The 13,800-nt window shown below is 46.8% G+C and overlaps 1 protein-coding gene across 25 annotated transcripts in view, besides 1 other annotated feature; it reads right to left on the bottom strand.

Moving 5' to 3' along the window:
* CUX1 (cut like homeobox 1) overlaps window positions 1–13,800 on the bottom strand; it is a 467,952-nt gene that overhangs the window by 423,863 nt on the left and 30,289 nt on the right. The window lies entirely within an intron of this gene.
* Window positions 3,045–3,174: an enhancer, noted in NCBI's record as "active region_26410". NCBI's record gives its function as "activates an Ori minimal core promoter by ATAC-STARR-seq in GM12878 lymphoblastoid cells {active_cell/tissue: GM12878}" and the evidence as "EXISTENCE:reporter gene assay evidence [ECO:0000049][PMID:35858748]".

The raw sequence follows: 13,800 nt of genomic DNA, 5'->3' as shown, positions 1-13,800 counted from the left end.
GGATAGGAGAGGGGAGAAGGGGGGAGAGACAGAGAGAGAGAGGAAAAAGCAGGCAGAGACAGAGAGACAGAAAGAGAGAGGAAGGAAGGAAGGGAGGAAGGTAGGGAGGGAGGGAGGGAAGGAAAAAGAAAGGGGAAGGAAGAAAAGGAAGGAAGGAAGGAGCAAAGAAAGACAAAGGAAAGAAGGAAATAAGCCAAGAAAAGAGAAAGAAAGAGAAGAAAGAAAAGAAAGAAAAAGGAAAGAAGGAAAGAAGCAAAGAAAAGAGAAAAAGAAAGGACTGAGAGAGAGAGAGAGAGAAAAGCAACCTTCTGCTAGGATCTTAAAGATACTACCCATGAAGCCTTCTGGCTGGGAAAAATTTTCAAAAAGCACCATTGCTCAATAAGAAGAGGGAACATATTCAACAAGTTATCAAGTCTGCAGAGAGAACAAGCCATGTCAGTATGAGATCATTAAATCAGCATTCTGGCAAAAAACGGTATTTCCAAACGTTCTGATGACAGCTGGATCAAACCCGCCAATACCTGACAGTAATAAATACAGTTATTTGGGAAGAAAAATAGGGAGTGACCTTACAGCTCCACTGAAATAGGCCAAATACGGGAAGCTTGAGGCGGTAGGAAATGGAAAAGAACAGCTAATATTTGGCAAGCTTCCTTGATGATCAACAAATTAAAATGTTAAGGAAGCAATTTGTTGAGAAAAGATATTTTTAAAAGAAGCTGAATCACGCAGGTTCAGCCCCGGATACGGTCAATTGGTAATTTTTAAATCATTTTTTAAAAGTTAATGTGTTCAGCCTCTAGAAATGGCATTTGAGACATCGCTGAGTTAATCATAAGCCGCCTCTCCCCCAGCTCAGGTGCAGGGAGGGATGCCTTTGCTGAGTTACTCTAGGGCTCTGCTCTCAACCCCAGGCTCAGCAGGGACTGCAAACCCAGCTCTCATGGGCAGTGCCTTTAGTGACAAGGGCATAAACAAAACTATAGCCTGAAGTCGAGCTAGAGTTTCCAAAGGCCCTCTGGTTGCCGGTCCATTTTCAATCATTAGCCACCTGACCTACTTCCAAATCTAGAAAGCCAAACAATACCGGATTTCTTCAATTAAAATACTGCTGGTTTTCACAACGCATGAAGGGAAGACTTTCTTGTGATTAAACAGCCATTCCCTGGGAGACCGAGGGAAGCGGATCACCTGAGGTCAGGAGTTTGAGTCCAGCCTGGCCAACATGGCGAAACCTAGTCTCTACTAAAAATATAAAAATTAGCCGAGCATGGTAGCGAGTGTGTGTAATCCCAGCTACTCAGGAGGCTGAAGCAGGAGAATCTCTCGAACCTGGGAGGCGGAGGTTGCAGTGAGCTAAGATCGTGCCACTGCACTCCAGCCTGGGCCACAGAGCAAGACGCCATCTCAAAAAAAAAAAAAAAAAAAAAAGGCATTCGCATTCTAAGGGCCAAAGTATACCCTCACTAAACCACCACAGCTCACAACTAACTCACTCAACATAGGGCTCACTGAGCATTTGCTGTTGTGGGTGCTAAGAACAAAGTCATTGTTTTCAGAATTCAAACATTCTTTCGGGTGAGAGGAGTGGAAGACACAGGTTTTATAAGTAGGGGATCATGTGCAGATAAGTCATTGAAGAAGAAAAAGTCAGGGAAGGCGGGAGGGACCAAGAAGGGATGGGTGAGGATGGCTCCTCTGAGAAGGGGACATGTGAGCTGAGACCTAAGAAAGTAAAACCTAACCATCACAAACCAAAGTCGGCCTCTAAAATGGGATCCCCACCACCAACCCCAAAACCAGATACTACAATGCTCTTGGCCGGGTTTTTAGCCATGTGCTTGGTTAGCTGCTGCTTAACTTTATTCTTAAGGAATCTACATACTGCATTTTTTTAAAGCAGGTTCCCTGGTAAGAAACCCTACTCCTCAGAAACAACAAAAATAGTATGTTCTGTTTTCTCTTTTTTTGAGACAGAGTCTCGCTCTGTTGCCCAGGTTGGAGTGCAGTGGCACCATCTTGGCTCACTGTAACCTCCGCCTCCTGGGTTCAAGTGATTCTCCTGCCTCAGCCTCCCGAGGAGCTGGGAGTACAGGTGCGTGCCACCACATTCGGCTAATTTTTGTATTTTTAGTAGAGACGGGGTTTCACCATGTTGGCCAGGCTGGTCTTGAACTCCTGACCTCAAGTGATCCTCCCACTTCGGCCTCCCAAAGTGCTGGGATTACAGGCGTGAGCCACCACCCCCAGCCCTTACTGTTAAATGACCATGATGAAGCTGATTTCTACAAATACACCAGGAGGAAGAGCTAAGGGGGGAAAAAAATTCCCTGCAAAATAAAACGAAACAAAGCTCCTTGCAATTATGCAAAGCTATAGCACAGCTAAGTTATTCTGAGCTAACTCAACCTAGAGGGGTGACGGCCTGGCAAAGGGGGTCATCCGACCCAGCCAGACAAGCTCCGTCTTTCCCTTCCTGCTTCACTCATTTCTGAAAAGAACAGTTCCAGTTTAAAGTAACCCAGCAAATTCATCCTCAACGGGTGAAACCCCATCCTCGCTTCACCTGACTCAAAGCGTGCGCTGCTTTAATTCAAAACAGCTGACTTCGGAGGCCTACAGTCCTCATTTTTCATCCGTCCCCATCATACCAAAAGCAGACTATGTAAGTAAGAGCGGTGAAAGGCCTTTCTGTGCTGAAAACATATTTTATGTATTGAAAAGTACTTGGTGGCCACGCATCTTAACTCCTGAAGAAGAAAATAGTTATTTCTTTTTATTTCTGCAGATATTTCAAAAATATGATAGGTATTGAATGCTAGGCCTGTGACAGGCAAAATGCCCTGTAGGAGGTGCCCGGGTTTCAGAGTCAAGCACAGCCCCCAATCAGATAAGCAGAGGCCTGGGAGAGGGAGGACATCAGGACCCACGTGACGCTAACACCGGGCGGGGTAAGGGCAGGAACATGGCGCAGGCCCAAAAGTGGCCCGCGGCGGGTGGTACGGGGCAGGACAGAGTCCACCTGCTGGAGAGGATCTGAAGGGCCTCGTCCTAACAGAAACAGGAACCGGAGCTGGGCAGGACTTCAGAGGCTGAAGGATGGGAGAGGGAGGGTGCGCCCAGGAGGAGGCACAGCTTGAGCAGAGGCGTGGCTGCATGACCGCGGAGGGAGGGTTCACACCCGGGGCCTGTGGTACGGCTGGCAGGCGTGGGAGAGCCAAGGTGGGGACACAGAGAGGTCAAGGAGGCCGAGGCCGAAAAGGGACCACAGAATTTGGCTACAAGAAAGCAGTTTCAGTTTAACGATGACAAGGGAGCCCGAGTGAAGAGGAAAACCTGTCAACTCCTCGTGAAAGTCGGGAGGGTTTCTGCGTAGAAAAAAACAGCGTTCAGCAGCTCAGTTGGCTGCCGTGAAGTCATCAGAACTAGAGGAAGAGTTGGACTTGCTCTAGTGAGGACAGCTTTTGAAGTCACTAACCACAAGGAGGAAGCCTTCCCCTCTGGGCCTGCAGGAAACAGATTGCGTGGCTTTGTCTGTCCTGGCTGGGGAACGCATGACACGCTGAAGGGTTTTCCAGCTCTAGGGAAGAAAATTCATCTTTCTGTAAAGTCCACTTCGTCTTCCATTATCTACCAGACTTCTTGATGGGACCATTTTTAGAGCCTTCAGTGAAAGAATGGAAAACACTAACTTGGATAAACAATTAAGAGTAGGGAGGGAAATAGGTGAAGACGCAACTCTGATGAAATAAACAAACCGCAACCGTGGAATAACATTCTGGTTATTATGGGTCGTGATTAACGGCTCCCTGCGTTGATGGCTGAAAACTTGTGCTTTACTGCACACTTCCAGCAGAATTTAGCTGCTTTTTTCTTTCTTGTTTCCTTTTTTTTTTTTTTTTTTTTTTTTGAGACAGGGTCTCACTCTGTCACCCAGACTGGAGTGCAATGGCTTGATCATAGCTCACTGCAGCCTTGACCTCCTGCTGGACTCAAGCGATCCTTCAGCCTCAGCCCCCAAGGAGCTGAGACTACAGATGCACGCCACCACACCTGGCCAATTTTTCTTATTTTTTGTACAGACGGGTTCTTGCTATGTTGCCCAGGCTAGTCACAAACTCCTGGGCTCAAGTGATCCTCCCGCCTCAGCCTCCCAACGTGCTGGGATTACAGGCGCTAAACCAGCACTTAAGCTGCATTTTTTTTTTTTTTTTTGAGCTGGAAACTCCTTCTACCGCCCAGGCTGGAGTGCAATGGCACAATCTTGGCTCACTGCAACCTCCGCCTCTCGGGTTCAAGCGATTCCCCTGCCTCAGCCTCCCGAGTAGCTGGGATTACAGGCGTCTGCCACTGCGCCCAGCTAATTTTTGTATTTTTAGTAGAGACGGGGTTTCACCATGTTGGCCAGGCTGGTCTGGAATTCCTGACCTCGTGATCCACCCGCCTTGACCTCCCAAAGTGCTGGGATTACAGGCATGAGCCACCGCGCCCGGCCTTAAGCTGCTTTTTAACACATGGGGAGAACACAGAGAAAGTACCAAAATGAATGTTGTAACTCAATTCTAAAATACGTGAAAATATACTGAAGACTCTTCCATTGCATCATCTTGTAAATTCAGGTGAAATCCTGCCTGTCCCTACCTAGGCCTCATTTTCCTTATCAACCTATGAGAAACGACCAGGCATTTCTTGGGTCCCCAGCACCCTGGAGAAAGAGACCACTCGGAGGACACGGCCCCTCACCTCATGGTCCCCCTGGCAGGCAAGGCCACCGGGCCAATTAATGGAAGTCAGTGACCAGCAACTGGAAGGGCTACAGGGTTTGGGAGGAGATAGAGCCTCTGAGGTTGGAAAGGCGGCCAGGGTTTCACTGGGAGGCAGGGCCTGGGCCAGGCTCCAAGGGACGGGGTCCAGCCCCCAGCAAAGCATCAGCACACACTTCAGCAGGAGGTAAGATGCCACGGCACTGGGGAAATTTTTAAGCAAGAGGGAAGAGGATGCATTAACAGAGAAGAGGGAGGTCACCATTGTGGGGCATTGCAATCCAAATTGAGTCCAGGCCGGGCGAGGTGGCTCACACCTGTCATCCCAGCACTTCGGGAGGCTGAGGTGGGAGGATCACTTGAGGTCAGGAGTTTGAGACCAGCCTGGTGAAACCCCACCTCTACTAAAAATACAAAATTAGCTGGGTGTGGTGGCACATGCCTGTAGTCCCAGCTACTTGGGAGGCTGAGGCACAAGAATCGCTTGAACCCAGGAGGCGGAGGTTGCAGTGAGCCAAGATGATGCCACTGCACTCCAGCCTGGGTGATAGAGTGAGACTTCATCTCAAAAAGAAAAAAAAAGAAAGAAAACTGAGTCCATTTTTAGTCCTTTGAAGTGTGCAGGTGTGTGTGACTAAAAACAGGCAGAACCATCACTGTTGAGAATGGGGTGCCACAGAAATGGGAGACAGGGTGTCATTTCTTACTCCAGCAATCGGAGGAGGCAACTGTTAGGAACAGCCCCCACTGGCTGAGCAGTGGCCAAGAGGCACCTCACTTTATGGAGGGGGTCCCTTCCAAACACTAAGAACTTAGGAAGTTCTCGCCACCCAGAGATAAGGGAATGGAGATGCCCAACCCCTAAATGATGGAGGCAGGATTTGAGCCCAGGCCTCTGGTGCCAAAGCCCCCACTGCTTCCTCATCCCATCACCACCAAACAGGCTCCTATGCTTAGGAGACTGGCTTTCTGAGCATTTCATAAAGTTGCTCTGCAGACAGACTCCAAACTTGTGTTAATCATATGTTACCCGCTGGCAGCCCGGCTAGAAGGCGCTCACAAAAGATGACTTTGAAAGACAAAACCAAAACCGAAGTGTTTCCTATGAAACTGGTATCATCACACACAGCCTTGCCCCATGCACACATTTCAGAATTGTCCGACATCCAGTTCAACATGGCAGACGATCCTGTTTGCTTTGGAACAGAAAGGTATAAACTCACCTGACAAAGAGGACAGGAAAGCAAGAACAAATGAAAAGCCCCCAAAATCTCAGAAGCTGGAAAGCGCTGGAAAGCACTGGAAAGCCGAAGCCGCCTTTCCAGACAAGCCTCAAGATGGAGCAGGCCGCCTGCAGCAAGCAAGCTCATTCGAGCTGCAGGACTTGGAGGCCGGGCAGGTGTGCAAAATGCCACTGCGGTCAGGTCCCTCCTGCACTGTGGGCAGAAGACTGGGGTTTCTCATGACCATGGGCAGGGGGCTGAGTGAATATCCCAGCACATGCCCCAGCCTGGTGCCTAGAAGACAGGTGGTCAGACTAACAGTTCCCAACTGCACCACCCAGCAGGAACACTGAGGGCTCCTTGCTAGAGAAACTGACCAGTCCAAGAGAATGAGCCACTGATACCCATGCCTGGGGGCTCCCCGCAACTAGACACCTGGGTTAATTACTTACGGTGGGGGCCACCAAAACTGCTCTTTACCCCGACACACACACACACACACACACACACACACACACACACCCTTTCTATTGCCATGCTCTGATATATGAACAAACAACAACACGTCACTAGGCATTTGAGGAAACCTCTAACTGGGACCAAAACAAAGAGGGAAACGAGGAAAACAGACAAAGCGACAGGACAAAGGCTAAAGAAATTTGGGTCTAGCCGCACAACTGGGTTTAAGCATCAGAGAAAATAAATGGACCACAGTTATAACAGACAACCTCACAGATAATGTTGCAGTAACTCAAGTTCAAAAGGCAAATCCTGCAAGTCTATTGCAGAATAATACCATTTTTATAGAGCTCAAACTCAGGGAAGAGTAATCATATACTACTTAAGCATCTATTCATGGGTGCAGAAAATACATTATTTTAGGCAAGAGCATAATAAATACACTACTTAGGATGGGTCACCTGTCCCAGAGAGGGGGCAGGGAATAGGAGGTGGGAGGAATATACAGGTGGATGCAATTGACTGGCAAAGCTCTGATTCTTAGGGTTGGGTGGAGGGTTCCTGGGTGTTCACTGTATTATATTTTGCAACCAAAATGCATGGTATGCAACTGTTTATATATTTTTAAAAAACATTTTACAAAGTAAAGACAGTAAGAATTCAATGCAGAGGCCAAGCACAGTGGCTCATGCCTGTAATCCCAGCACTTTGGGAGGACGAGGCAGGTGGATCACCTGAGGTCAGGAGTTCAAGACCAGCCTGGGCAACATGATGAAACCCTGTCCCTACTAAAAATACAAAAAACTAGCCAGGCATGGTGGCATGTGCCTATAATCCCAGCTACTTGGGAGGCAGAGACAGGAGAAATGCTTGAACCCAGGAGGTGGAGGTTGCAGTGAACCAAGATCACTCCATTGCACTCCAGCATGGGCAACAAGAGTGAAACCTCATCTCAAAAAAAAAAAAAAAAAAAAAAAAAATTCCAACGCAGAGAACAGAAGAAAACTTTTTTAAAATTTTTTTATTTGTTGCAACAGGTTCTTGCTCTGTCGCCCAGGCTGGAGTACAGTGGTGTGATCTCGGCTCACTGCAACCTCCACCTTCAGTGTTCAAGCCATCCTCCCACCTCGGCTACCCAAGTAGCTGGGACTACAGGTGTGTGCCACGATGCCCAGCTAATTGTTGTCTTTTTAGTAGAGACAGGGTTTTGCCATGTTGCCCAGGTTGGTCTCAAACTCCTGGGCTCAAGCAATCAGCCCACCTTGGCCTCCCAAAGTGCTGGGATTACAGGCATGAGCCACCTTGCCTGGCCAAAAACTTTTTAAAAAACTGTGATGAATGTAGCCAGGAATATAAAAGATGATGCTTCCATGAAAGAACAGACCATAAAAATGTTCAAAGAATAAGAAAACTTGGAAATCTAAAATAAGATGCATAAAAGTTTAGAAAGACTGGAAGGTTGAGAAATTCCTGCAGAAAACACATCAAAAAAGACAGAGGCATGAAAGTGAAAGGTAAGGCTGGGTGCGGTGGCTCACGCCTGTAATCACAGCACTTTGGGAGGCCAAGGTGGGAGGACTGCTTGAGACCAGGAGTTCAAGGCCAGTCCGGGCAACATAGTGAGACCCTATCTCTATAAAATACTTAAAAAATTAGCCAGGCGTGGTGGTGTGCACCTGTAGTCCTAGCTACTGGGGAGGCTGAGGCAGGAGGATCCCTTGAGCCCAAGCAGTGGAGGTTGCAGAGAGCCATGATGGTGCCACCACACTCTGGCCTGGGTGACAGAGTGAGACGCTGTCTCAAAAGAAAAAAAAAAAAGAGAGAAGAAAGACAAATGAAAAGTAAGAAAAATTAGCAGATCAGGCCACAAAGTGCAACATCTGACTAACGCAACTCTGGAAGACAGAAAACAGAGACCAGGCCATAAGAACCACGCCAAGGTGCGTGTTCATGAAATCTGAGAAGAAGAAGAAAAAGACAACTCTACAAGGTGTTAGAACAAAGGACAAAAATGCAGAACGCCCTTGACGGATGCTAGAAAACGGGGAGCCAAATCTTTCCCATTCTGCAGGAAGTGTTTTCCAACCTGGGATTTGAGGACAGAATAAAGAAGATCTTGTCGGATCGCAGATATGGTCACCATCTATCAGGAAGCAATCGGAGAACATCCCCGCAGCAAATGAGAGGTTAACCAGGAAGAACAAAGCCATGGCGTACACGAGTCAGGAGATCCAAAGCTGGAGAGAGATGGGAGGAAGCCCCCGAGATGATGAGGAATGGGAGACCCAGCTGGGCAGAATAGGGGGGCCAAGAAGGGCTGTCACCAAGAAAGATGAAACCCTACCTCACTGATGGCCTTCCATATTTTAAGAGATCTATGTTGCTGGAGGAGAGTTTAGGCATACATTAAGTAGTGTACAAAGAATACTAATATTTACAAAGTCATAGCTATGGAAACACTGTATATTTGAAAATTGATTGAGCCAAAAAGAGAAGTATGACTATGCTTTTAAAAATGTATTTATTTGTTATTTTCTAAGAGACAGACTCTCGCTCTGTCACCCAGGCTGGAGTACAGGGGTGTGGTCATAGCTCACTGCATCCTTGACCTCCCCAGCTTAAGCAATCCTCCCACCCCAGCTACCCATGTAGCTGGGACTTACAGGTGCACACCACCACACCTGGATAATTTTTTTATTTTTAATTATTTTGGTAGAGACAGAGTTTTGCAATGTTGCCGAGGCTAGTCAAGAGCTCCTGGCCTCCGGTGATCCTTTTGTCTCGGCCTTCCAAAGCACTGGAATTACAGGTGAAATGTGACTATTCTGAGAAAGAGAGAGGCGTAGGCAGCCTTTTCTGAGGCCAGAATCCTCATCCATGTCTCATAAAACACATCAGTAAGTCAACACCTAACACTGAAATATCAAAGACAAGTGGTATAAGCCTGCTACTTAGAAAACCAGGGGCTGGCTGGGCACAATGGCTCATGCCTGTAATCCCAGCTTTTTGGGAGGCGGAGGCGGGAGGATTGCTTGAGCCCAGGAGTTCGAGACCACCTGGGTAACATGGTGAGATGCCATCTCTACAAAAAATACAACAATTAGCCGGGCACAGTGCTCTCATTTCCTATACCTGGTCAAGGCTGCAGCGAGCCATGATCGCACCACGGCAATTCCAGCCTGGACAACAAAGAGAGACCCTGTCTCAAAAAAAAAAAAAAAAAAAAGAAAGAAAGAAAGAAAAAGAAAACCAGGGCTGCTCTTGGGTGTAGGAAATGAGAGTGGGGAGAAGTGGGGTGGGGTTGGTTCTTTTTTAATATTAAGCCTTATAAAATGTTGATTAACAAATGAAAAATGTTTTGAAGAAAAGAAAACATGCAAAAACAATGACTACCTTCAGAAAAATTGCATTTTAAAATGAAATAAACCAGGCATGGTGGCTCACACTTGTAATCCCAGCACTTTGGGAGGCCAAGGCAGGCGGATCACCTGAGGTCAGGAGTTTGAGACCAGCCTGGCCAAGATGGTGAAACCCCATCTCTACTAAAAATACAAAAATTAGACAAGCATGGTGGCACATTCCTATAATCCCAGCTACTAGGGATGCTGAGGCAGAAGAATAGCTTGAACCCAGAAGCGGAGGTTGCAGTGAGCCAAGATCTAGATCGCGCCACTGCACTCCAGCCTGGGCGACAGAGTGAGACCCTGTCAAAAAAAAAAAAAAAAAAAAAAAAAATTGCATGAGACAATGAGATACTGTCTCATACCGGTCAGAATAGCTATTATTAAAAAGTCAAAAAGTAACAGATGCTGGCAAGGTTGTGGAGAAAAGGGAACACTTATATACACGGTTGGTGGGAGTGTAAATTAGTTCAGCCATTATAGAAGACAGTGTGATGATTCCTCAAAGACCTGAAGACAGAAATACCATTCGATCCAGCAATCTCATGACTGAGTATAGGCCCAGAAGAATATCAATCATTCTATCATAAAGATAAATGCATATGTATGTTCACTGCAGCACTATTCACAATAGCAAAGACATAGAATCAATGTAAATGCCCATCAATAATGGACTGGATAAAGAAAACATGGCGCATACACACCACAGAATACTATGCAGCCAGAAAAAAGAAAGAGGTCACGTCCTTTGCAGGGACATGGATGGAGCTGGAGGCCATTATCCTTTGCAAACTAACTCAGGAATAGAAAACCAAATACTGCATGTTCTCACTTATAAGTGGGAGCTAAACAATGAGAACACATGGACACAGAGAGGGGGGAAAAACACACTGGGGCCTTTTGGAGAGTGAAGGGTGGAAAGAGGGAGAGGATCAGGAGAAATAACTAAAAAAAAAAAAAAACTAATGGATACTGGGCTTAATACCTGGGTGATGACGTAATCTGTACAACAAACCCCCATGACAAAAGTTTACCTATGTCACAAACCTGCACTTGTATCCATGAACAATGACGTGAAATAGAAAAAAAGCTAAGATGATCCACTGTCACCCCTCTCATACCCCCAACTCAACTACCCACCCTTCAGAGAAGGACAGGGCTGACTACATAACTGGCCAAACCTGCTGCCAAGGAAGAAACACCTACTTGGAGACAGTCTTCAAGATCTCGGCCAAGAAAACAAAACCCGGGGCCCAACTTGTAAGTCACGTGGAACAAGAGCTGTATTGTGTTCATGGAACCCAAGCTCTCCAGACAGTCAAAAAAAAAAAAAATTGCCTTGCAAGTGTTCAGTTAGTCTACACACTTTTTTCAAACTCTTTTTTTTTTTCCGTTTCCTGGAGAAGGGGGTCTTGCTATGTTGCCCAGGCTGGGTCTTGAAATCCTGGGCTCAACAATCCTCCCATCTCTGCCTCCCTAAGTGCTTGCACTACAGGCATAAACCACCGCACCCGGCCACACTTTGTCTTCTGTTTGCTGTGCACTTAACAAAGCTACTAGAAATTTTTCTGATCCTTATGGTTAAGCACATTCCATAGATGGAGCCTCACTCTGCACAAAAGTGGGCAAATTCGCAACTAAATTTGGCCCCCATGGAGGCCTACCAGGCTGGGAAAATACAAGGGGGAGAAAATTCAAACATTCCTAGTCCCCTCAACATTAAGAATCAAGATCCCTCGCCCAACAAATTCTTTTGCCATCTGGATCTGAAAGGACTTCCACTTTGAAAATTTTCTCCTCGCGGTAGGAAGTTTGCCACCAAATATTAAAAGCCACAGAGGTGCCAAGTGTTGTGTGACTCACATGTTTCATTTGCCCACTGAACATTTGATGTGGAAGCTGCTCACACCCAGGAAGCTGGCTTGTGCCTTAAAAAGACATTATGCCAACTGAGCTGGGTTTAACGTGTAAGCAGATATTTTGAATCACATAAGGGAGAAAAAAAAATCAATCTCTGGGAAAAAGCATAAAAGAAATAAAACATGTAAACAACGTCAATACACACCCAGTGACCTGGGCGATCTAGGCCTCACCATTGATGCTATAGCCCCTAAGGCCAGATTATGACCATTATTTTTCTTTTAATATAAAGCAGTTTATTTTTTCTTTTCTTTTTTTTTTTTTTTTTTTTTTTTGAGTCTTGCTCTGTTGCCCAGGCTGGAGTGCAATGGCGTGATCTTGGCTCACTGCAACCTCTGGCTCCCGGGTTCAAGTGATTCTCCCGCCTCAGCCTCCTGAGTAGCTGGGATTACAGGCACCCGCCATCATGCCCAGCTTATTTTTGTAGAGATGGGTTTCACCACGTTGGCCAGGCTGGTCTTGAACTCCTGATCTCAGGTGATCTGCCTGCCTTGGCCTCCCAAAGTGCTGGGATTACAGGCATGAGCCACCATGCCTGGCCTTTAAAGCAGTTTCTATGGGTGAGCTGCCAACACCATAACACTTTACTTTCTCATTTTGAGGAGAAAATGAAAAAGCACTTTGGGAGGCTGAGGCCAGAGGATCACCTGAGGCCAGGGGTTCAAGACCAGCCTGGGCAACACAGCAAGACCCCATCTCTAAAATAAAAATAAAAATAAATTTAGAATAGTACATCAGGCACTGCCATACGTTGAGTCTCACAGAATCCTCTACACAGTAAATAGTTTTATCACTGGCTGTTTCACGGAGGAAGCAGGTTCAGCAGTGCCCAAAGTCACACAGCTAAGAAGTGCTGGAACAAAAATTCCAAATCAGATGTGCTGTCTGCCGTCCAAGACAGAGCACCCTTGGCCACTGCCTAGACAGTGGGACGCATGGCTGCTGATAGGGATCAGGTGCCGCCAAACATGGGTCATCTCCAAAACCCCAGGTTCTTATCCACTGAGGGCTGCCATTTCCAGGTAACAATATATCATGAATCCAGCACACTAGAGGAGAGGAGTTTCCCCAAAACTAAATTTTCCAAACAAGTGTTTGTCTTGGCCTTGACATTTGCTACAGCGTTGGTGAAAATACTACCTTCTCCACCAGGTGGTTGACTGTTTATTTTGTCATTTCTTTAGGGATAGGACCTTGCTCTGTTGCCCAACCTAGAGTGCAGTGGTAGAATGACAGCTTGCTGCAGCCGCGAACTCCTGGGCTCCAGCGATCCTCCCATCTCGGCCTCCTCAGTAGCTGAGACTTACAGGTGCGTGCCACCATGTCAGCTAATTTTTTTTAATTTTTTAAATTTTTTTGTAGAGACAGGGTCTTGCTATGTTGCCCAGGCTGCTCTTGAATTCCTGGCCTCAAGTTATCGTCTCACTTTGGATTCCCAAAGTGCTGGGATTACAGCATGAGCCACTCCACCTAGCTACATGTCAGGAAGTCAGCATCCATACCAGACCAACACAGCCTGCAATTATTTTTAGTCTTTCTGGTCTCCCACTATCAAGCTAGCAACTGGTCTTAATTGCTACTGTCCGTGGGGCTGCCACTAGCACCTCCTTGGCCTACTTCCAATTTGCTGTTTTAATGTATTAGCACCTTGAAGAGTGGATGATCGATACTGTCAGAACTACGTGTAAGAAAGGAGTTCGGCTGGGTAGGGTGGCTCCCGCTGGCAATCCTAGCACTTTGGGAAGCTGAGGTGGGAGAATCGCTGAGGCCAAAGAGTTCAAGACCAGCCTGAACAACATCGCCTTTACAAAAAATACAAAAAATAAAATCAGCTGGGTGTGGTGGCACACACCTGTAGTCCCAGCTACTCAGGGGGCTTAGGTGGGAGGCTGTGGTGGGAGGATCGCTTGATCCCAGGAGGTCGAGGCTGCAGTGAGCTAGGATTGCACCACTGCACTCCTGCCTGGGCAATGGAGCAACAGCCTATCTCAAAAAAAAAAAAAGGAGTTGCATTTAAAAGCGGCTTGGAAA

This window comes from Homo sapiens, chromosome 7 (genome assembly GCF_000001405.40).
Source record: "Homo sapiens chromosome 7, GRCh38.p14 Primary Assembly".
Classification (NCBI taxonomy): Eukaryota; Metazoa; Chordata; class Mammalia; order Primates; family Hominidae; genus Homo; species Homo sapiens.
The sequence above is the reverse complement of the archived record's forward strand: the minus strand, read 5'-3'. Positions and strand labels throughout refer to the sequence as shown.